The 24464-nt window shown below is 45.0% G+C and overlaps 1 protein-coding gene across 3 annotated transcripts in view, besides 1 other annotated feature; it reads right to left on the reverse strand.

Moving 5' to 3' along the window:
• Positions 1–24464, reverse strand: part of OTUD7A (OTU deubiquitinase 7A) — a 395276-nt gene that overhangs the window by 74472 nt on the left and 296340 nt on the right. For all 3 annotated transcript variants that reach the window (NM_001382637.1, NM_130901.3, NM_001329907.2), the window contains 2 exons: positions 20149–20328; positions 9100–9318 (listed from right to left, as the gene is read on the reverse strand). In NM_001382637.1, the coding sequence (NP_001369566.1) occupies positions 9100–9318; positions 20149–20328 (399 nt within the window). The remainder of the gene's footprint in view (positions 1–9099; positions 9319–20148; positions 20329–24464) is intronic.
• Positions 4439–5022: an enhancer, noted in NCBI's record as "H3K27ac-H3K4me1 hESC enhancer chr15:31846511-31847094 (GRCh37/hg19 assembly coordinates)". NCBI's record gives its function as "activates a minimal SCP1, AML or CMV promoter by ChIP-STARR-seq in naive H9 embryonic stem cells {active_cell/tissue: H9 hESC(naive)}" and the evidence as "EXISTENCE:reporter gene assay evidence [ECO:0000049][PMID:30033119]".

The following is a 24464-nucleotide window of genomic DNA, read 5'->3' on the forward strand; positions in this document are numbered from 1 at the left end:
CTTTCCCCTTTCCTGTAGTTCTCAAGCATTACTGTAGGCAACATGCTACTACATACAAAATACTCTACTAAAATACAAAAATTAGCTGGGTTTGGTGGTGGGCACCTGTAGTTCTGGCTACTTGGGAGGCTGAGGCAGGAGAATCGCTTGAACCCAGAAGGTGGAGGTTGCACTGAGCCGAGATCGTGCCACTGCACTCCAGCCTGGGCAACAGAGGGAGACCCTGTCTCCAGGAAAAAAAAAAAAAAAAGAATGTGCTGGGAATGCAGTATCCTGAGATCACGGGAAACTAGCTGGACCAGTCTGGACTCTGTTCTGGTCCCTCCGAGAACAGGATGTATTTCAATGTTTTAGCCCAATAATGACTGTATCCCCCAGGTATCAAACCCACAGCAGGCTGCTTTCTGGGGTCCCTCAGCTGCAGCACAAGACAGCATGCACCCTGGGCACTGTCCTAACTCTTGTGTGACTGTCTTACCCTGAACCCTAGGCTGCTATTGTCCCTCACTGCCTGTCTGTAAGACACCTGCTTTGTGCAACCTGTACACATGCATGAGACTTGGCAAGGAAGCAGCGCACAGTGAACCTGCATCACTCCTGAGTCTCTTGGGTACTCTCTAGGCACCAACAGTTAGCAAGAAAATGGAACCTCAGTCATTCAGCTGCAAGGAACTAAATTCTGCCAACCGCAGGGAACTTATGGATCTGCCCCTAGATGAGCACACAGCCAGGGGACACCTTAATTTCAGCCTTGAGAGACTATGAGCAGAGTCTCAGACCCAGCTAAAGCACAGCAGACGGCTGGCCCCCGGAAGCTGTGGGATGATACACTTGTGCTGTTTTAAGCTGCCAAATGTGTGGTAATTTGTTAGGCAGAAATAGAAATGCATACAGCGTCCTTTAGCCCAAGGATATTTAAATAGGAATTCTGTCCATTCATTTCACATGTGTATCCTGGGAGGCGTATCCTGGGAGTGTTCAGCAGGTGTCTGGGAGGTTTACTCGTGTCCCTGAAGTGCATGCTGCTAACGGGAGCTATGCACAGAGAAACACCTGAATGCTCAAGGGCAAGCAGACAGCTCCTGTAACCTGTGCAGATAACAGTGTGGCCCAGGCTGTTGAGACTGTGCACACCTGGGAGAGGGCAGGTAGGCAGGATGCAGCCTGCTAGAGCAGCTGTGTGGATGGAGGGCAAGGCTTAGTGGTTTGATGTAAGCCAGCTTCTAGAAGTTAAGACTCTTACTCAGTTGAGAGCACTCCTAGGGCTGTACATCAGACGTGACCGCCCTGAAAAGATGGCCCAGCCATGGTAAATGCCAGCACTTTCCAGCCTCCGGAGACCCCATCATGGCCCAGTGCTATTCTAACATCCAGCAGAACCTAGAATGTGGTGCCCGAGATAAAGGTGTGCTCCATACAAGGAGTGCGATTGGGAACATGCAAAGTTTCATGGTTTCATGTTTCTATTCCTGGCTTTGACAGAGTGGTCATTCCCAACTCCCCATGACATAACCACAGAACAGGAACAAGACACGGGCACTGGCATTGTGAATAGCTTGAAAACTTGAGGTTCTGCAAATAAGAAAATCACAGGTGAACACCATTGAGAGAGGCAGGTGGTTTCACACGTGGGGAGCTATTAGTCACTTATTCTGACTTTTCTGAGCAATAGTCCTCTGATTCATCCGTGATAATGGGACCAATTAACTTCAGCTTTGGAGCAGGTGGTTACCACACACTTTAAAATAAGATGTCTTTTTGCTCATCACCCCACGACATTTTGATGAAAGAAAACAAAACGTGACAATTCTCTATCAGAAAGATGAGGGGATTCTTGCCCTAAATGTGACACTGTAACTCCTTTTAATATCACTGGAGTGCTCCCTCCCCACCTGGGCCCTCGGATGTCCCCTCTCTGGGCATCACTGTGCTTTGCACGTGCTTCTGTGAGAGCTCCTGCCATGGGACTGCGGTATTGCCTTCATGTCCTTTGCTCCTCTGGGGCAGGGGCCTTGTGTTCCTCATCTTGGTTGTCCCCAATAATCCTGGTAGTTGATATAGTTTGAGATGTTTGTCCCCTCCAAATCTATGTTGAAATGTGATCCCCAATGTTGAGGGGGGCCTGGTGGGAGGTGTTTGGGTCATGGGGGTGGATTCGTCATGAATGGCAGGGTGCCATCCTCGCAGTAATGAGTGAGTTCTTGTTCTATTGGTTCCCATGAGATGATTGTTAAAAAGAGTCTGGCACCTCCTCTCTTGCTCCCCTTCACATCATATGATACATCTGCTTCCCCTTCCCCTTCTGCCAGGACTGGAAGCTTCCTGAAGCCTTCACCAGAAGCAGATGCTGGCCCCATGCTTCTTGTACAGCCTGCAGAACTGTGAGCCAAATAAGCCTCTTTTCTTTATAAATTACCTGGTCTCAGGTATCCCTTTAAAGCAATGCAAATGGGCTATGACAATAGGATTTGAGACACCACAGGTGCTCAATGTTTACTAATGAATAATTGTAATGCTGGAGAAGATAACTTAGTATTTGGTCACAATTTAAATTCTTTATAGCAAAAAGTGTGAAGAAAGAAAAATAGGAAATACCACTCTATGAAAATAAAAAATTAGTAGAGGAGGCCATTTACTTGATGCTGAGTATGCATCCAGCCCTGTGCACACACGACCTCAGTTCATCTTCACAACAGCCCCACAAGGTGGGCTGCTTCATCACGACGTCACAGAGGAGAGCCTGACGCCCCCTCAGGGGGCTGCACAGGAACCACACTGTGACCACTACGCTGAGGAGATGTGAACCCTGGCCTCTGTCTCTCCCACACTCTGGCCCAGGCCCTATGCCCAGGGTTGCCCAACGCTGCACCTGGCCCACAAAGGAACGTGGTATTTCCAGGCTTGCCCAGAGTCGCAGCCGCGACTCTGCCTGACTGATGGGTGGAGGAAGCTCCAAAGCACAGCAAGGATGGGAAGGCAAACTTGGCAACTGGCCATGGGAGGAGCTGCCTTTGGAAGCAAGGAATGGTCCCAGGTAGCTAGGAGGCCAATGGAAGCCTCACGAGATGGAAGGCAAGGGAGTGTAAAAGTAGCTGGAGGAAAGAGATGACTCACAGCAGCCGATGGTGAGAGCTATAAGGAGAAGGGGAATGGAAGCCACTTCCTGACCTTTCTCTGTATCAAGCACAGTGCAGCATGGCTTCCCGAGAACCTTGCCCTCACAGTCAAACCCAGCGGTCAGTTTCTAGTGCACACTGACTTACTGGCATATTTGGCACCACTGATTGCTCCCTTCTTGAAACACCTTCCACCCTGGGCGTCAGGGTCACTATCCACCGCTGGTTCGCCCTGATTCCCAGGCCCGCACATTCCCAGTCTCTTCTGCTGGCTCCTTCTTCTGTTCCTCAGCCCTCAATACTGTAGGGCCCCAGCCTGAGTCTTTGGAAAGCTTGTTTTCTGTCCATGCTCCAGACAAGTGTGTCCAACTCATGCTCACCACTGCATGGAGCCAGGTTGGGGGCATGGTGGGAGGGTCCTACGAGGAGCTCACTCCGGGATCCCACGGGTTTCACTTTAGGGCACTAACTCCACATCTGCATCCCCAACGCAGGGCTCTCTCTGACTCCAGACCCTCATGTTCATCTGGGCAGCAACTTTACAAGTCTCACTACAGTCTCGGGCTTTGCCTGACAGTGCTGGCCTCTTCTTCTTGCCCTTCCTCCAGGGGTCTGCATCTCCTCAGGCAACATTATCTACCCCCATATTCAGGGTAACATTCTTAGGGCCATGCTGGACTCTTCCCTGCCTGCCAGAGCCCCAGCCCTCCATCATCAAGGCCTGTAGGTCTGCCTTCAAAACGTACCCCATAGCCGTGTCTCTCTACTGCCCCTCACCTGCACTACCACCCCCACGACCCTGCCAGCCGTCTCTCTCTGCCCTGGTCTGGAGCAACTGCCTCTCCCTGCTCTTCCAGCTTCTTCTCTTACCACCCCATAGTCCATTCTCCAGCAGCCAGAATCTGTCAGATGTGAATCAAGACGCGTCAGCCCCCGGCTCAAAACCCTCCAGGGGCTGCTTATCTACCTTCAGTGAAGCCTAAAGGACGAGGCTCCCTAGCGCCCGGCTCCCATTCTCCTGCCCTCCTTTCCAAATCCTCTCACCCTCGCTCCACCAGCTCAGGTGACACTGGCTTCCTTAAATATGCCAAGACTTTGATGTTAGACTCCCTCTGCCAGGAAAGCCAGGCCCGCAGGTGTCTGTTGCTGCCTCCCTCCCTGCCCTCCAGCGGCATCCCGGGATTCCCTCTCCTTCCTAACCTCCCCAGAGTAGCCTCTGAGGCCCCACTTCATTTTCATGCTCCCCTTGTTCATCGGCTTTCTTCCACTGGAATTTCACCTCCCTGAGGGCAGGGGTTTCATCTGCCTGGAGTGTGGAGGTAGCCCCAGACCTGGATGGGGCATTTCGTGGGCATTCAACACAGGCTGACACTGGGTCAATCTGTCTCCATTTGGCCGCCGTTACACATCTCTGACTTTCAGAGGGAAGGAAGTGAGGCTCCAGCCGGCCAAGTGACGTGGCCAAGCTCCCCCTGCCAATCCGGGCCTCAAGCCAGGGTCGGGCTGACTCAGAAGCCCACAAGCCTCCTCTGTAACTTACCATTCTCTGGCAGATTCCCCTCAATCCAATTATCCTCCCCTGGAGCACAACTCAAAGGTGTGCCTAGAGATTTTTCAACATGCGTTTCCATCTCCCATGTATGCAGTGACTCCTGCATTACACAAAAATGCCTCTGCCCTCTGCCCCCAGACACACTGAAGAACCACACCATCTCACCCACATGGTGGTTAGCTGCTGCCACAGGCAGCAGATGATACTTCCCAACCCAGAGACCCCGGTCTCCGAGCCATCTCCTGTGTAAATGCAGCAGGATCAGCTGATGGCAAAAGGAGTGGTTTCTTGCCTTCTCAATGGCAGGCTAGTCATTAAAGAACGAAAGGTGTTTCCCTTCCTCTCAGGAGGTCAGCTGGTTTTAGGCCCAGATGATCCGGCCCTTCTGTTGCCCTGAGACTGTCATGAGGTGGGAGTGGGTTGTGTTTTCCAGGGTTTGAAGACTTGGGGAAGACCAGTCTCCCAGATCTGTGGGTTTTATGGGAGTTCAGACTGGCACCCCACTTGACACAGAGGCCTCAAAAATAGACGGGGCTGCCTATGTGGCTCGGGAGGCCAGGCAGATACCACGCAGGGCCCCAGGAGAGTGGAATCAGGCCCCAGGATGGACAGCTGGATGGTGGGCAATGTTAACTGAGTGAAGGCCACTGTTTGCCAGTTTTCAGAACCACCTGAGCCCTGGGTTCATGTTCTGTCCAAGGGAAAAGGAAGTCCTCCACCCAAAGTCTTATGACAGAAATAATGTTTCCTGCCAAGCACAGCTAGAACTGTCCCTTAAACAAATGGATTTTTTTTTTACTAAATAATTTTTTGACATCTGTATTTCAATCTCTCATGTATTCAGTAAAATAATATTGCATATAAATAGTTTATTCATAAAGATTCTAAGCACTAAGCTATTAGGAAGAGGCATTTACCCTTTGTACCCAGCAATACTGAGCAGCTTTCTTGGATGGCCACTTCATGATGGAAAAGTGGACTGTGACAGTGGGGGCCACGGGAGCAGAGCCTGGCTGTGGGGTGGAAGGTACAGGAGCTGCCAGTGCTTTCCAGTGACCAAACTCCTCACCCAGATGGGCTGTGGGAGACCCTTTAGCACTGGCCGGCTGAGGGTCTTCACGTGAGTCTGAGCATAGCAGGGCACTGAGAAATGACCTAGTCTAAGACCTCGCTTGAGAGCAGAGGAAAGGAGTTCGGAGGAGTCAGATGGATGGTGGGCAGGGGTCAGGTTCATGCTATCACCCAGCCCAGAGACTGCTTCACTCCTCTGAGGGAGCACACACACAGTTGTCTGCGTACCTCTGTTCTTTTTCTTTTTTTTTTTTTTGAGACAGGGTTTTGTTACCCAGGCTGGAGTGCAGTGGTGTGATCATGGCTCACTGCAGCCCTGACTGCCCGGACTCAAGCAATTCTCCCACCTCAGCCTCCTGAGTAGCTGGGACCACAGGCGTGCACCACCATGCTTGGCTAATTTGTTTATTATTTGTAGAGATGGGGTCTTACTATGTTGCTCAAGCTGGTCTCGGACTTCTGAGCTCAAGTGATTCTCCTGCCTTGGCCTCCCAAAGTGCTAGGATTATAGGCGTGAGCCATCGCGTTTGGCCACTTTTATTATTTTTCAGCGTGAGGGACGAGGAAGACATGTTGGCTACTAGGACTCCTGTCCCAGGCAGATCCCTGATCTTCAGGCGCGAATTGCACCACAAGCACCTTTGACCACTCCCTGAAGAGTGAGACCCACTTCCTCAAGGCCTCCTGCGAGTGTAGACCAGATGGCTTCTCCACCACTGGGTGGGAGCCTGAGCTTCCTGCCTTCACTGATCTCTGCTTCCAGTTGGTTCTCTTCGTGGTGCCCAACATAAACAATGAGCTATTCATAATTTAACATCTTAACTCACTAAGTTTGGGTTTTTAAAAGGTATTTTTCAAGACTGGATGAAGCCAGAGTCCCATCTTAAAATGCTAGTCTGGAAGGTAAAATATAAGTGATAAAAATTAAAATGCAAAATATGGAAAAAAATAACAGAAAAGACGTTCAAAAGAAGTGAAGGCTTTTGCTAAGCATGGTAGGGCTCAAGGAGAAGGTAACATGGTGGGGTCTACCTACAACCTTGCATGAGACTGTGCTTCACACGAAACACAGCACTCAGGCAGCTGCTATGATCACCCAAGCTATTAGCAATCGTCAGTGCTGAGCTGTATAAAGGTCTACACCGCCGTAGCATTCAACAGAGAGTAACCCATGAAACTTGTTTCTTTCTTAACAAATACTAATTTCCGCTTCTCTATGAATAGTGAGCTTTTTCTATTGAAAATATCTTATCTGAATTAGTCATATAGAAGCGTCTTTAAAATAGCCAGCCCCCACAGTGAGTGGTTTAGATTATTGCTAATCTAGCTGAATTGTTTTGTTTGTTGAGTCTTGCTGAGGTAAGACAGAGCAAGGCTGTGGGTGCCAGTCATTGGATTGCTCTTGATGGCTGCGAAGCAGCTGAGATGAGAATTTCTCCACAGTCACAACATGAGATCCAGCTGTTGGGAATGTAGAGCCTGTTCTAATGTCAAGCATGCCATTGGTGAGGCTTCTATGAGTCCTGTGGCTACGACCTGACTGCAAGCCTGCCCAACACAAATAAGCCCCACTAGGCACATCTCGTCCTTTGTCTAAACGCATCTTGTGCCTTCCCTCTTGAAAGTGGTGGATGACGACAGCCCTGGGCAAACAATGACAAGCAATGGCATGAAAGCAGGTGTACACGTGTACACAGAAGCCAGGTCTGGTAAAACTTCCCGGCACATTGACTTTCTGGATGTTTCCCATTGGCCCCACAGATCTACCGTCTATCCTTCTCCATGCTGCTCTGTATGCAGAGGGTGACCTGCGTGGACCACATCAGTGAGCTCCCCGCAATCTGCCCTTCTGCCATTAAGAGGCACTGGTCAGAACCTGGATGGTGGAGGAAGAGTGTGGTCAGAGTATTTATTTCCCCAGCATCTTCTCTCTCCCGGATGCCACACCTACTGCCCGTGGCTATCTCCATCAGCCACTCTCATCCCTTGTCTTTTTGCCAGGCCTGAGGGTAGTCCCAGGAACGGTAGTATCCTTCACTAGTGTCCTTAAATCCTGCCCACTCCTTGGAAAGCAGTCCCTTTATGGAGTCCTTTATCTCACAGTTTTGTGCTGCCTTTTCTTTCCTACCAGGGTCCTGATTGGTCCATCCACCAATATCAGAATCATACCAACCTACAGGTACTTCTCTCCTGTCTTCTTCTGGAACTCTAGAAAGTGCTTGGTAATTTTATTGGGTCTTCGCCGAGCACCGAGAAAAGCTCTACTCCCTAACAGTGCATTGCTGGCTGCAGCCCTAAACTCCTGGGATGACACATCTGGGGACGTCTCCACGGACCAAGCCTTGGAAGTGGAGGCTCCACTCCACAGTGGACATGAAGAGCTGGCTGAAGGCTGGGTCAGCACTGGAAGGCGATGCTTCCCCACCCCAGCAGGAGCAGGGCTTCCCACTGGCTGAGGACATGCTCCATGTGCACTGTCAGCCCGTGCAGGCAGGCGGGGCTCCCACTGGGAGGGGCGTGGTGGGCCTGAGGAGACAGCCATAACATCTTCCACATGCGTGCCTGAGAAACCCCCAGATATGTGATTTTGCAATGTTTATAATGTGAATGATTATGAGTGAAACTGGCATTGCTTTGTCTCAGGAAGAACCTAAATCTGTTTTAGACATTTGTTTTGGACTCATTATTTTCTCCTTAAACATTCCAAAGAAGAGAGTTTGTCTTGCTTCTTGAACGCTTTCTTCATTGGGATGTTAGGGTGGTGAGGAAACACTAAGGAGAAGGAAGGAGACTGAGGTCAGGTTTTGTGCTTCCTTAACCTGGAAGCTGGAAGAGGCTGCGCAGGCAGGGAATGGACAGCTATGGAAAGCACATGTCACTTAGTACCCCAAAGCGTTGCCGGGTCAGCAGTCTCCTCATCTTTGCAGATGGAGAAACTGAGGCTGAGAGAGATCACCTGACTTGCCCAAGTCCACAGGAAGTGGCGGGTCTCCCGTTTTCTCTAAAGCCCATGGTCTTTCCTATCTTTCATTCAACACCCACGGAGGAGTTGTCTGGGGAAAGAGAGAAGCAAGGCAAAGAAGCATAGAGTTCTCCTTAAAGGAGGACTGGGATTTAGGAGCAAGGGGAAAACTCGAGAGATTTCAGCACCACCTAGTTATCGGCCCCTCCATCCAGCCCATGCTGGCTAGAACACTGTCGGCCCGTAGAGCAGGAGGTGCGGTGCAGCATCTAGAATCCTAACTGAAAACTGCCCAGAGTCTGAGAACATGTGCCCTTCTCTTGCTCATAGAGTAGGTTAGGCCAGCTCACCATTCACCAAGCCTAAAGAGGGTGGGCCTGCTGGCAGGGGCAACTCACCTGCCTGCTCCAAAGCCACCATTGTTGCCTGCTCGATCAAGTCCCGCTCGATGAAGCTCCTGAAATCCTCGCTGTACACGCTCAGGTCTGGCAACTGGAATGTGTAGATTGGCATCTCCAGGGGGAACTGCTCGTTGTTGCATTCACTTGCCACGTGGGACCGGGCCAGGGAGACGATGGCTGAGCTGGCGTGGGAAATCCCCCGGGAAAGCCGCTTTTCTGCAGGGGGAGAAGGAAAGATAGCCCCAAGGGCTGAGTGGGTGTAGGTGTGGCTCTATGTACATAAACACACATACTATGCACACACAATACACACACACAGGTACACATTCATGCACACAGACCACACACATGCACATACCACACAACACACAAAAATACATATGTGCACACATATGAACACACCATACATGTTCACACATATATACTACATGGCACATGCGCACATACATATACATGTGCACACACACTTATAAGCAGAGATATACATGTGCATACACATACTGCACACATACGCATACACACACATGCACACACATAAATGCTCACACATGAATACGAAAGCATACACAGGATCATATGCATGCACACACTAGACACATATACACTGCACATCCACTTGTATACATACATGTGCACACACTACATAGCATACACATACATGCATGCAGACACACACATAGAAACAGTTGGCACATATACTACACACATATATACATGCCCACGCACATACACTACAGACTATACACATACTATATACGTGTACACATATAGATGTATTTGCACACACAAATACACAGGACACACAGCGCACATACATGTACATACATGCACAGACTATATGCATACACACGTACACATACATGTGTGCACACACATACACATGCACACCCATATTCTCTCTGCAACAGCCCTTATATCCTACAAGCCTTTTCTATCCTGCAGGCCTTCCTGCTGCTGGATTAATCACCACCACCTGGTATGTGGCACTTATTCACAAGAGTCATGAAACCACTTAGTAAGTGGGGAGCTGCAAGCCCACAGTACAACTGCACATCAGCACTGTCAAAGAGCACCAGGCTTGCTCTTGGGTCTGAAGTTACATCTACCTCAATTCCACTGAGTTGTCCTCTCCCAGGACTAAATGGTACAAGGGAGACCGCTCTTTGTCTCGATGCATTTATGCACTTAATGCAAAGAAACAATCATTCAGGCATCCACAGCAGCTCAGGTTTTAAGACAGGTTGTTTTACTAAAGTTACGCTGATAAATGCCTCCTACATGGCCCTCCCAGGACACACAATATTAAGTCAGTCCATGTGTTTCTCTTCTGTCTGGATATTCTTTTGCCACAGCACTCTCAAAAATAATGCTCTCCTCTGGCTTTATTCTTCTTGGGCTTTTCAGCCAGGGAATGAGAAACGCAGTGTAGGATTTCTCTAAGGTACAATATGTTACCATGTTAGGAAGTCGATTACCTAGAAAGTAGATGTATCTTCTTGATGCTGCAAAAGCACGCTTGTTTTTATAAGCCCTGTGTTCTAATGACTAACATTGAACATAAAACAAGAATGCTTAAATATATGTTAAGAATAGGTTATCTTTTCTCATAGTGTTTTCAGTAAGGAGAAGTCTTTTTAGCAGGGCAGTAGATCTTTCATTTTTCTCAGGAAAGCATGGTCTCTGGTGTTTTATTCAAAAGCCTGCTGCCTGTGTTGCCTAAATTAAGTATAAATAAGCATTGTCTAAGCCCTGTGGCAAATTCCTGAGGCTATTCCCTGAGGTCCCAAGGAATCCCACTGTCCTCCAGTTCAGCCTGCCCACTGGTGAGGTCTGTGCTCCTGCAATGCCCCTCTGAGGTCCACACTGACCAGCACACCACGGTCACACGGAAAACCCAGCCCCAGCTTTCACCCGGAACAGCAGCATTTTCCTTCCCCACTTGCAAGAGCACTGGACAGAAATGGCATTCATGGAGTTTTGTTACAACAGACTAAAAAGCATAAGCTTTTGATCCTATGGCAAGTTAGTTTTAAATCCGAAGCTAATTTCCAGAAGGTTCATGTATTTTTCCCATTAAAATGAATACAGAGTCACAGAGACAGACTACATTTCGCAATGGGTGGTTTAGATTCACCTTCAATTTCATTCAGAGACCAACAGGATTAAGTTCTTTGTATTTTGCAGAAAGGTAAAAAGAGAAGTTAAACCACACAGGACATTAGAAAGAAGAGGGAGGGAGCACATGGGCCCAGCTTGGGTGGTGGGGGACGGCCCATTGCTTCCCACGCTGGTTCAGGTCCTTGAGTGCAGGAGCAGTGGAGGCTTGTGTCTTTCTGCCTCGTGCAAGCCATGCTGAGGCCACTCATCTTGCCACAAACTACCATTTTTGTATCTGGGAAAGAAGGAACTGCCCCATTTTTCGGAATCTGATGGAGAGGGACATCAGGCATTAGAGAATCGAGGTGCTATGTGCACCTGCAATCGGTGGGACAGACAATCTCAAGGCTGCTCTCAACAGTGGGCACCTGTTGTCCAGGGGCACCCATGCTCCTCCCGGGCCCATCAATCAGCACCCACATGAGACACTTCGATGGCCTTGGAAACACGGTGATTCCTAGGACAACATGATGTGGTTCTGCAGTTCTAAACATGAAATATTTGGAGTTTGAGGGAAAAAAGTATTTTTGAACTAAAAATATTAATAGATTGCGTTGAAGATCATATAAAATGAGAAATATATGCTCCTAATTCTAACATTTCCTGTGACACCCCAGGAATGCACACATATCATCTCTCTCACACACACACAGAGTCACACACACACACACACATTCACACACTGATTCTTTAAACGTGAACTCAGTGATTCTACTTTTGGATGTATAAATAAAATGTTTTACAGGAATTACCATGATCAAAGTTATGTCTCAGAAAAATACAGAAAGATTAGAAAACAAAACAAAACATAGTACAAGAATGTACAGAATTTCCCTGCCACTGACAAAGGGGAGATGTATTAACTATATATTCTTTTTTCATTTATTTTCCTTTTATTTTTAATTTTTACAGAGATGGGGTCTTGCCATGTTGCCCTGTCTGGTCTTGAACACTTGGGCTCAGCGAGGATTACAGGAATGAGTCACTGCATCTGGCCCTGCGTTTTCTTATTTTCTTTGTTTTTGTGGCTCTGGCACCTGGGACCTCCCTGACTGGGGAGAGGCTGCCCCTCCCAGGTGAGCCAATGTTAAGAGATGGCAAAGGCCTTGCCCCGCAGCACACCTCTCCTATGCGGAGCAGCCAATCCAGAATCTACACTCCTGACTACCCTCTCCAGCTGGCTCTTACTCTCCAGGAGGCAACGTTCCTTTGCCCTAAGCACTTCAGGCCAGGGACCAGGCAGCCGGAGACAGGCCCTGGTACCTGGTACCTGGTGCCTCTGAGCTGGCTGCCGTTATGCACACTAGCTGGGGTAGGGGGCTGCTCCCCCTGCCCTGCCTTCCCATAGAAACCACCTCAAAGGCTTTGGCCCATGCTTCCCCTCACTCCTATCTCCAGATGACCGGCGCCTCCCCGTGTGGCCCTGCATGCTGTGCTGGGCCTCCTGTTTCCAAGGAACTGTGAGTTAAAAAAAAAAAACAACTTCCACCTTCATGACAGTCATTTCTGTGTCTGCGTGTCTTATGACACCTGATTAAAACCGATCCTGGGTATATTTTAAAACAGGTGGACAAAACTTTTCCTAAAGGGTGAGACAGAAATATTTTAGGCTTTGTGGGCCATGCAGTCTCAACTACTCACCTCTGTCTTTGCAGCACTAAAGCCGTCGAAGACAGTACATACATGAGTGAGCGTGGGGGTGTTCCAATAAAACTTTACTTAAAAAACAGCCCAGATTGGGCTCACAGGTCTTTTTCTGGGCCCTGATTTAGAATATGAAATGTTCCATTTTCCATTTTGGCACACTATGGTTTCAGGAAGAACTCAACTAAAGGAGACATAAATTTAATTCAGAAACTCTGTAATTCAATAGGAATCGATATGATTGCTCGCAAGGCTCAATTAATAGGATTATGCTGGGATAGAGTCCTATTTTTTTTTTCTTAAATGATATCTAAGAAAAGTCAGATCACAGTATGTAACAGCTACACTTACTAGGCCCTGATTCTGCCAATCTCTCTGGTAGCAGAGAGAAGGGTCCTTCTAGCCCCTGTACCAGGAGGATAAGATAATGGGTTGGTTTGTTTGCTGCCAGCTCAAAAGAGCAGGACTGCCATGTGGCCATCTGTCTGGATTGCTGCTGCCTGAAAGATACCAGCAGCCTTAACCGTGTGGTGTAGTCAAGGAAGGCCCTGAGCACAAGACCGAGCCAAGGACTGGAAGGGGTGGTTCCTCTGGAGTCAGGTCTAATGGCAGAAATGAAACCGAATTTAAGAATAATCAGCAAGAGGGGCAAGACAGTGCATAGCCTCAGTGTCCTGTCCTCACACACACCTAGAAATCCTCAGGGGCAGGAGGTGGGAATGGGTGAGGCCGACAGAGAGGGCCTGGGGTAGGGCGTCTTGGTCCTGCCTTTCCTCTCCCCAGCATGGCTCCAGCATGGCCTGCCTTCCCTATCATCCCCTAGCCCCAGCCCTGTGCCAGCTGGAGAATGTCAGGTGGTGCTGGAGCACAGCTGGGTGGGGCACCAGTCACCATAAGCACTGCTTCCCTCCTTTCCCTAACACACTGGGGAGCTTGGCGGTTACACCAGAGCAGGGCAGTCCCTACAGGAAACAAGGACTTTCTAGAAGAGAGGAGCTGGGAGCAGCCCTCAGTAGACAATCCAGCTATGCAGAGGGGAACAGGCAGGGAACTTCTAGAGCCCAAATGACAACATCTAAGGCTCTCCAGCTTGAGTACCCTTCCCCGACTCTCATCTGGAGGAGCATCCACCAGAGCCTGTGCTCCAGCACAGTGAAGATGGATGATAACTGCGTGCCCCAGGAGCTTCAGGGAAACTGTTAAAGAAAGGCAACAAAGTACTGGCCAGGAGGACTAGATTAAAAAATGAGCCTAGTAAATACATGCAAAGAGATAAATAGAATATCAGAATGCAAAATAATAATAACAATAATAAAGACAAAGAATTAACTTGGGATTAAAAAAAATGTTAATGGGACTAATAATGCATTCATGTGCAGAATAAATAGGGATGTGAAAACATCAGGTCAAGTGAATCTCTTAGAAGACATGAGAACAAGGTGCAAGAACATGATGGAGGAAGGGTTGGAAGGTGTTCAAAGAAAATAATTTCAATCTAGAGTTTTTAATCTACTAAATGAAAATTTAAGTATACCATGTAAATCTTTTTAGGCACTCAAGGCCTTAGGAGATTCACCATGCAAAAACTGTTTTTGGAAGTAGTCTTTGAGGAAGGTTTTTTTTTTTTTAGCAAAAGAGAAAAGAATACATGTGAATAAATAAAGGAGTTAATTGTTATCTAAATAAGCAAAGGCAACAAAAAGTATCTAAATAAGATTGAGAGCAAGTAGAGGCAGGACAGAACAACATAAAATCATATTAATACATGTATTTTGCAGGGGAAAATATAGTTGTTAAGTTTTTAAAAATAATAGGAAGAAAACCAAAATAATGATTTTAATAGAATAGCAGTAATTGCAATGTGAGTAAAAGTAGAATGTGTAACTTGCAAACCAGTAGAAAAATTTAACTAGATAGAGAAGATAGGACAGAAGAATGGATTGAATTAACCACTCAAAAGACAGAGATTCTTGGATTGGATAATAAAATGAAACCTAATAATAAATTGTCTACAAGAATCACATTTAACATGAAAGGATATGGAAAAGTTGAAATTATATCAGCAGAAAAAATGATATTTCTGGCAAATATGAACCAACAGAAAGCCAGGGTAGCTGTTTAATATCAACAAAAGCAGATTTCAAGATAAAAACCATTATATCAAATGGCTTGACAAAGAGACAGCCTATATATTGGTCAAAAAACACACGAGGAAGATAATCTAAAAAATTATGAATATACATATACCTAACAAGATAGCATCAAAACAAATACAGCAGAAAGGATGAAACTCAGAGAAGACACAGATAATATGTATTAAAATTTCTAACTCAATTATGGCTTTTCTAAACAACAGAATAAACAGTTGAGAATAATCCAAGATATAGATTCAATATAGCTTGAATAATAGGCTGAGCTAATAGAAACAAAGACAGCATTCATTTGCAACAGTTCAGGAGAGTCTACCTAATTCAATAAAATAAAAAACTGAATTAATTGTATAAATATGAAGAAGAACTTACAATTATTTCAGATGATACTATTGTATACTTAGATATCCAAGTGATTCTCTTAGTCATTAAGCAAATGACTAATAAGAGAATTTATGTAGTTCACTGGATAAAAGATAAATAAGTAAAAAATGAGTTTCTTTTTTCCATGCTTAAAATCTGAACAGAATCTGAATATGTGGAGAGGCATACATAATGTTCTTGGATAGAAGAACAATATTATAAATGCAAATTATTTTTAAAATTAAATAAAAATCCATTCCAATTCCACTCAGAATTATAATTTTAAGGTTTAGATGGCAAAATAAATATTCAAAAACAGCACACACAAAAAAAGGAAAAGCATAGCAATAGAAGGTGAGGGTGAGACCCTGTGAAACCACTGAGTCAAGTGTAACAGGGGGGCAGCCACAGGGGTGGGCAGAACAAGGTATGGAAATAGGTCCAGGTATGTTGAGAATTTAATATAAGGCAAAGCTGGCATTTAGTTCAGTGGGAAAATGTACTTGAATAACTCTCTCTCAATCCAGGAGAAAGCAAAACCAGATTCTTTGCTATTTACAAAAATTTCAAATTGATGAAAAGACTCAAAGAACAAAATTTAAATTAAATATAAGAATATATTTCAGGCCGGGCACGGTGGCTCACGCCTGTAATCCCAGCACTTTGGGAGGCCGAGGTAGGTGGATCACAAGGTCAGGAGATCGAGACCATCCTGGCTAACACGGTGAAACCTTGTCTCTACTAAAAATACAAAAAATTAGCTAGGCGTGGTGGCGGGTGCCTGTGTCCCAGTTACTCGGGAGGCTGAAGCAGGAGAATGGTGTGAACCCATGAGGCAGAGCTTGCAGTGAGCCGAGATTGCGCCACTGCACTCCAGCCTGGGCGACAGAGTGAGACTCCATCTCAAAAGAAAAAAAAAAAAAAAAGAATATATTTCAGTAATTCTGTAGTCCAAGAAACCTTCCAAAGTGAGAGAGAAAGCTCATCAGCCATGAGAACAAGATAATGTAAACATTGTGTATGGGAAAATATTCTGAAAAGAAAGTCATAAGGCAAGTGATATGTGGGAAAAACACATATACATATAGAGGAAATATATGTTTTAGTCTTTATTACAAAGAGAGCAACAAATTGATAAGAAAAGACAAACCAATCAATAGAAAAATGGACAAAGTATGCGAACAGCCACGTTACAAAGGGGAAATCCAATGGCCTAAGAAGCAAATGACAAGATGAGACAAGACACCATTTTCCACTCTTCAGAGTAGAAAAACAACATAAACACATTTGATGTAGTTTGAATATTTGTCTCCAAATCTCAAGTTGAAATGTGATCCCCAATCTTGGAGGGGGGGTCTGGTGGGAGGTGTGTGGATTAGAAGCAGATCCCTCATGAATGTCTTGGACTATCCCCTTGGTGATAAGTGAGCTCTTGCTCAGTTCACACGCAATCTGGTCATTTAAAAGTGTGTGGCACCTCCCACCCACCACTCTCTCTCTCTTGCTCCAGCTCTGGCCATGTAAAGTGCCTGTTCCCTCTTTGGGATTTTAAGCTTCCTGAGGCCTGCCATGATTTTAAGCTTCCTGAGGCCTCCCCAGAAGCTGAGCAGATGCCGGCACCATGCTTCCTATAAAGCCTGCAGAACCATGAGCCAAGTAAACCTCTTTTCTTTATAAATTACCCAGCCTCAGATATTTCTTCATAGCAATGCAAGAAAGGGCTAACACAGAAAATCAGTACCAAGGGGGTACCTGAAAATGTGAAAGCAACTTTGGAACTGGGTAATGGGCAGAAGTTGGAAGTCTGGAGGATTCAGAAGAAGACAGCAAGTGAGGGAAAGTTTGGAACTTCTTAGGGACTGGTTAAATGGTTATGACCAAAATACGGATAATGAAATGGACAACAGAGTCAAGGCTGAGGAGGTCTTAGATGGATATGAAGAAATTATTGGGGACTGGAGCAAATGGTCACGTGTTTTGCCTTAGCAAAGAGCTCAGCTGCATTCTGTTCATACCCTAGGGATCTGTGGAAGTCTGAACTTGATGATTTAGGGTATGTGGTAGAAGAAATTTATAAGCAGCAAAGTATTCAAGAGGTGGCATGGCTGCTTCTAACAGTCTGCATTCAGATGCTGCAGCAAAGATAGGAGTTGGAACTTATATTTAAGGGAAGCAGAATGTAAAAGGGAAGCAGAATGTAAAAGTTTGAAAAATTTGCAGCCTAGCCATGTGGCAAAGAAAGAAAAAGCTTTTTCAGAAGAATTCAAGCAGCCTGAGGAGCAACTACTTGCTAGAGATATTTGCATGACGAAAAGGAAGCTAAATGAGTGCTATTACCTAAGACAATGGAGAAAAAGCCTTGAAGGCATTTCAGAGACCTTCACAGCAGCCCCTCCCATCAAAGGCCTACAGGCCTAGTTGGAAAGAATGGTTTCATGGGCCAGGCCCAGGGCCCCGCTACCTTGTGTAGCCTTGGGACACTGCTCCCCACATCCTGGCTGCTCCAGCTCCAGCCTTGGCTCAAAAGGTCCCAGATACAGTTCAGGCTGCTGCTTCAGAGGGTGCAAGCCATAAGCCTTGGTGACTTTCACATGGTGTTAAACCTGTAGACATGTAGAATGCAAGAGTGAATGAGGTTTGGCAACCTCTGCCTAGATTTCAGAGGATGTATGGAAAAGCCTGGGTGTCCAGGCAGAAGCCTGCAGCAGGGGCATAGCCCTCACACACAACGTCTACTAGGGCAGTGCCAAGGGGAAATGTGAGGTTGGAGGCCCCACACAGAGTCCTCATGGGGGCACTGCCTAGTAAAGCCGTGAGAAGGGGGCCACCACCTTCCAGACTCCAGAATGGTAGATCTACCAGTGGCTTGCACCCTGCACCTGGAAAAGCTGAAAGCAGAGAGCAGCCATGGGGGCTGAACTCTGGAAAGCCACAGGGGCAGAGCTGCCCAAGGTCTTGGGAGTCCACCTCTTGCACTGGTGTGCCCTGGATGTGAGACATGGAGTCAAAGGAGATTATTTTGGAACTTTAAGGTTTAATGATTGTCCTGCTGGGTTTTGAACTTGTGTGAGGCCTGGAGCCCCTTTCTTTTGGCCAATGTCTCCCTTTTGGAATGGGAATGTTTACCCGATTGTATCTTGGGAGTGAATAACTTGTTTTTGATTTTACAGGCTCACAGGTGGAAGGGACTTGCCTTGACTCAGACAAGAGTTTGGACTTTTGAGTTAATGCTGGAACAAGTCAAGACTTTGAGGGACTGTTGGGAAGGCATGATTGTATTTTGCAATGAGAAGGACATGAGATTTGGGAGGGCCCAGGAGTGGATTGATATAGTTTGGATATTTGTCACCACCCAAATCTCATATTGAAATGCAATCCGCCATCTTGGAGGTAAGGCCTAGTGGGAGGTGTTTGGATCACGGGGGCAGATCCCTCATGAATGGCTCGGGCCAACCCCTTGGTGATAAGTGAGCTCTCATTCTGAGTTCACATGAGATCTGATCATTTAAAAGTATGCAGCACCTCTGCCTTCCAACTCACTCTCTCCTGCTCCTACCCTGGCCATGTGAAGTGCCTGTTCCCCCTTTGCCTTCTGCATGATTGTAAGCTTCCTGAGGCCTCCCCAGAAGCTGAGCAGATGCCAGCACCATACTTCCTGTAAAGCCTGCAGAACCACGAGCCAAGAAATCCTCTTTTTAAAATAAATTACCCAACCTTAGGTATTTCTTTACAGCAGTGAAAGAATGGCCCAGCACACCATACATTGTAATTTCCAGTGCTGGCAAGATTGAAGGGAAACACCCGGTTTCACACATGGTGAGTAGCAATATATTAGGAAAGAAGCCCTAAAATTATTAAGCTAGAAACACACATGTGTTGGCACAGCAAATCCATTCTGGGAATGCAAACCCATAGAAACAAAAGCACCAGTATGTAAGATTAGAGGTATAAAGATGTTTCTTTCAGCATTGCTTTCAGTGGCAATTAACAAATAATAACAACGACAAAAACCCAAGCAAAAACAGAATCACCATGAATACAGCAGTGATCTAAAAATTAACACATTATAGAATAAAATGTAGCTATTGAGAGATTATGTTCATCATCTCCTGCTCAGTGAAACAAGCACTTTGCAGTGTGCTGTGCATTTGACTCTGATGTGTTTGATTTTGAACAATATAGCAAGAGGAGCAGGAGGAGACCACCAGAATGTTATCAGCCGTCATTACACTGGTGAGATCTGGGAGGTGTGGAGGCGAATGCTCTTAAGTTTTCCTCATATATCTCTGTATTGTTTCCTTTGTTATAATAAGCATATCTTACTTTCATAATGAAGAAAAAGGATAGAGAAGATGGAGCGCATGGGACAAGAAATGTGATGCTGAACAGACTTGGAGACTGTGTTACTTTGGAAATATGTGAAAGAACTAGAGATGTTTGGTCTGAAAAAACCAAGACTCCAGGAGGAATGCTGGCTTTTACTCACTTATTGGGCTTTTGGGGTCCTAGGAAATCAGACTCATTTTTCTGCTTTTCTGAGGTAGAGGTTGGAACCATGGATAGAAGCAACAAAGGACATTTCGGCATAGTGTGAGAAAGAAGGCACTGAGAGGCCAATATGTCTGCATCCGGGAGGTGATGACCCCACCATTCTTTGTACCACGCAACCCGCCTGCAAGCTGCGGTGCACTGGCCTGGGCGGCTGTGCCTAGGCTCAGTCCCTCAGCGGTACCTTGGGCAATGTCGTCCTGCCTCTGCAGGCAGGGTCGCTCCACCTTGTGCCCGGGCTGTGGCTCTCGCTCTGGCTGCTTGGGACCCCGCCCTTCATTGAACACATGTGGCAGATTGGCTGTGTGCACCTGGCGGAGCTGCTCATAGTCGCTCAGAGCGGCTGTCAGGTCCCAGTTTTTGCCTGTGGACAAGAAATGACAAGAGGTGACAATACGAACGCATGAATAACGGTCTCATCATAGAGAAGAACTGTGACAAGAAGGGTTTCCCATTAGGACATAAACTAATGAATTTTTACCAGTAGTTCTTGTTTTTCAAAGGGGAAAAATGGCCCTCTGCATGACTCTAAAAGCAGAATTTCACACCCATAAGTGACGTCCATCTAAAATATGTGACTATATACAGTCTCAGAGCCTTTAGGTTCATACACACACACACACACACACACACACACACACACACACACACACATCTAAACACTGCATCCCTGATCATCACATCCCCCTTTGAAAATCAAGTTGTAGAGCTTACTCTCTGAGGGGAACAAAGCATCAATTAAAGAAAAATGAATTGAAATAATTCTCAAAGTTTCTTTGGGCTTTTGCTCAGAGTTTTACTTTTTATTTTAAGCTTAATATGAGCGAAGCAGAAGCTTGGGAGGGATTCTCTTGTTAGTGAGCTTTGGTGGGAGATAGGCTTCTGAGCTCAGGCCCTGCACCAGGTGTGATGCCAGGCTGGGCAGGTGTGCCCAGCGTGGGTACGCACTCAGCAGGGCTCCCACCCCGACACGGGGTGCTGGACTGGCACTTCGCAGCACTAGGCACAGCTACACTGGGGAGTTGGAGGCAGCGTGGGCACTCTGATTCCCGACTCTGAGAGTCAGTGGGCTTGTAACGGCAGGAAGGAGTATCACACACTACACCCGATTCAGTTAGGCATCATCCTATAGCACGATTGGGCAACTATAGTTAACAATAACTTAATGTATATTTCAAAATAACTAGAAATGTAGATTTGGAATGTTCCCAACACAAAAGAAATGATGCATGTTTGAGGTGATGGATATCCCAATTAGCCAGATTTGATCATTATACATTGTAGGCTGGTATCAAAATATCACATCTGCCCCATCAATATACATATTGATGTATGTATATATCAATACATACAACTATTATGTATCCATAACAATTAAAAATTAAAAAATTTTAAAAAGAAATCAAAGAATTAAAAACTTAGCCTTAATTTTAAGGAGCAAATAAAAATAAGCTCTCTTCTCATCTTTTCCATTTTAAGTTACTGGGAACCCCAACAGATGTCACATCAAGTAAGGATGAGAAGGAAAGGCGCAGAGGCCCATGGTGAAACCTGAGGCTGGAAGACTGGGGCAGCCACAGGCTACATGTCCCTGATGAAGGAATGCAACCCAGAAGAACAGTCAAGAACACAGGTTCTAGGGCCTGGTTTTGAGCCCTGGTTCCACCTTCTAACTAATTCTCTGATGGTGAATATATCATTTCATCACCCAAGGCCTTGCATTCCTTCCTGTACAATTAGGATAACACAATCCATCTAATGAGAATTCTTATGAGGGTTAAATGAGAAAAGGAGATAGTGTTTGTAAAGTTCTTCCTTTATGGAAAGCACTAATACATGGTAGTTACCATTATTCTCATTAATTATAGGTTTCTGTTTTATGTTTAACTTCCAGCACTCAGAGTTAAAAGCCAGCTAGTAAGCAACGGAGCTGAGATTCAAATACACGGACTTATCTATACTCCGTGAGTTTCTCATTCAACTGTTACTAATGCCATCTCCCAAACACACTGAGGCCATAAAGTCCATGGGAGGGCAGTAGAAGCCTAATTCTAACATGGATATTTTCACACTTCCTCTTCTGCACCCTGGGACACTCTATGGTCCCTTCACTGTTTCCTTTGCCTCTTCCTGCCCTTAAAACACATGGATTCCCCTAATTTTTCTTCTTGCTCTTCTTTTCTCTTAATTTATACCCTCCTTTGAAGATTAATTCCATCTCTATGAGAATAAGCTTAATTCTAGTTACAACTTACATCCTAAGTTTTAAAGCCAAATATTTGACTATGGGAGATATTAGCTGACTATCCAATTTCTAGTCTCCTTATCTAATTCTATATGTTCAGAATTCTAATTTATTTTGGATAGCAATACACACAGCTGAAAATATTCATTTTCTCCTGCAGATCTTCAAACTGTATTCCTGTTGTCCTATCTTTCTGTATTTGCTTACTCTGTTTCTTCTTCCAGGAATAGTTCCTCCAAGCAGCAAGACAGTATAGCTGTATGGAAGAAGACCTTAACCAAAATAATTCAAAGACTGAGGAAGCTTCCTGTGAAGTTTTTCTTCCAGGATGCCTCAATTTCTGATTATCACCAAAAAGCAAGTTATTGGATTACTAGTAGACACAGATTTCATGGTAAGAACTACAACCTCTAGTACAGTTTACTGCTGAAAATGTTTATGCCTTAAACTCCTAAATCATTTGATTTTTTTTCATTGTCTTAAGAGGCAGTGGATTTCAAGTTAAACTTAACATATGTATTTTGGCACTCAGAGAGGGATGAGCTGCTTTAATTTAGTACAAAAGTATCACAGCTCTGAAGAAAAACTATAAATCAGATATACATGAACTCACAGGAGGAGGTGAAACAGAAACTGACTAAACTCAGGGGAAAAAGGAGTCAAACTGTTTTAGGAATGAAGTTAAATTATAAGGGAGAAAAGAGAAAACAGACTGCAGATAGCATAGTAAGAATGATAAAAATGAAAAGTAAAGTAGACAAAACAGAAATAAAGAAACACAGGGTTAAAGAAAAATGTTAGATACCGAGTATAGGTAAAAAAATCCAACATACTCATAATTTGAGCCCCAAATAAAAAACCTGAAATAATGGAAAGGAAAAAAAAAGAATTTAAAGACTTTAATTAAAAAAGCAAACTTTTTGAAATATTTGATTTTACACATTTAAAGGGCACACTGTATATAAGGAAACTGTTCTAGTATAGCCAATACCAACATATTTTAAAATTATCCTCTTTTAAAGATAAAGAGAATTTTTTAAATATGTAAGCAAAAAAGAAAGAAAATCAGGTTAGCAACATACTTCTTGGCAGCAACAGTCAATGCCAAAAGACAATAGGGCCACATCTACAAGATACTGAAGGAAAGAAAGCAATATGAGCTAAGAAAGCTTTATGCCCATCCAGTCTACTCTTTTCTGTATAAAGGCTGTAGACAAACCATTTTAAACATGAATCGTTCAGAAAACATTTCTCAAATGGACACTTTTTGAGAAAATTAATAGAGGATGAACTCCAGCCAATCAAGAGATGAATAAGAGTCTGGCAAAGGAGCAGTCAGGCAGCAGTAAGTTTATTTAACTGCACATCTAAGGAAAAGCAAAGGTAGAGATACAAGTGATGAAGAAGAATATCAATATTCTGTCAAAATGAAAATGACACAATCAACAAAAATGGTAGAATTTAGAAAGCAGAATAAATTTGCAATGCCTCAGCTGTTATACATGAGACTGCAAAGATAATGTTTACAGTTGACAGATCAGGCCAGGTGCAGTGTTTCACACCTGTAATCCCAGTACTTTGGGAGGCCAAAGTAGGCAGATCACTTGAGGTCAGGAGTTTGAGACTAGCCTGGCCAACATGGCGAAACCCTGTCTCTACCAAAAATACAAAAATTACCTGGACATGGTGGGACACGCCTGTAGTCCCAGCTGCTCAGAAGGCTGAGGTACAAGCATTGCTTGAACCTGGGAGGTGGAGGTTGCAGTGAGCTGAGATTGCACCACTGCATGCCAGCCTGGGCGACAGAGCAAGACTCCGTCTCAAACATAACAACAACAAAAAAAACAAAACTACAGTTGACAGGTCAAATATGTATATGTAAGCATATTTAATAGTAGAAGGGCAAACAATAAGAACAGACAAAAGATATACTATTGGTTAAATTAGATGGTAGAAGAGAGAGGGGAGAATGAAGGAAGAAGATAGAAGCTTGTTTTATTGAGGCATATAGGGAATAAACTGATATTGTCTAAAGAAAAAGGGATATAGGATATTACATAAAGGCAAACTTATATAACCACTAGTTATAAACATAATTGTATTGTTATACTAGTGGTTAAAAAAGTAACCATTAACATAGTTTTTTAAAATATCAGAAAAAATATTCTAAAATAAAAAGCTAAGATAACATAGTGAAAGACATTTAAAATATTTACACAGAAAAATAGAAACTATGACAGAACTAAAACCAACCG

Source organism: Homo sapiens, chromosome 15, assembly GCF_000001405.40.
Source record: "Homo sapiens chromosome 15, GRCh38.p14 Primary Assembly".
In the NCBI taxonomy this organism is placed as follows: Eukaryota; Metazoa; Chordata; class Mammalia; order Primates; family Hominidae; genus Homo; species Homo sapiens.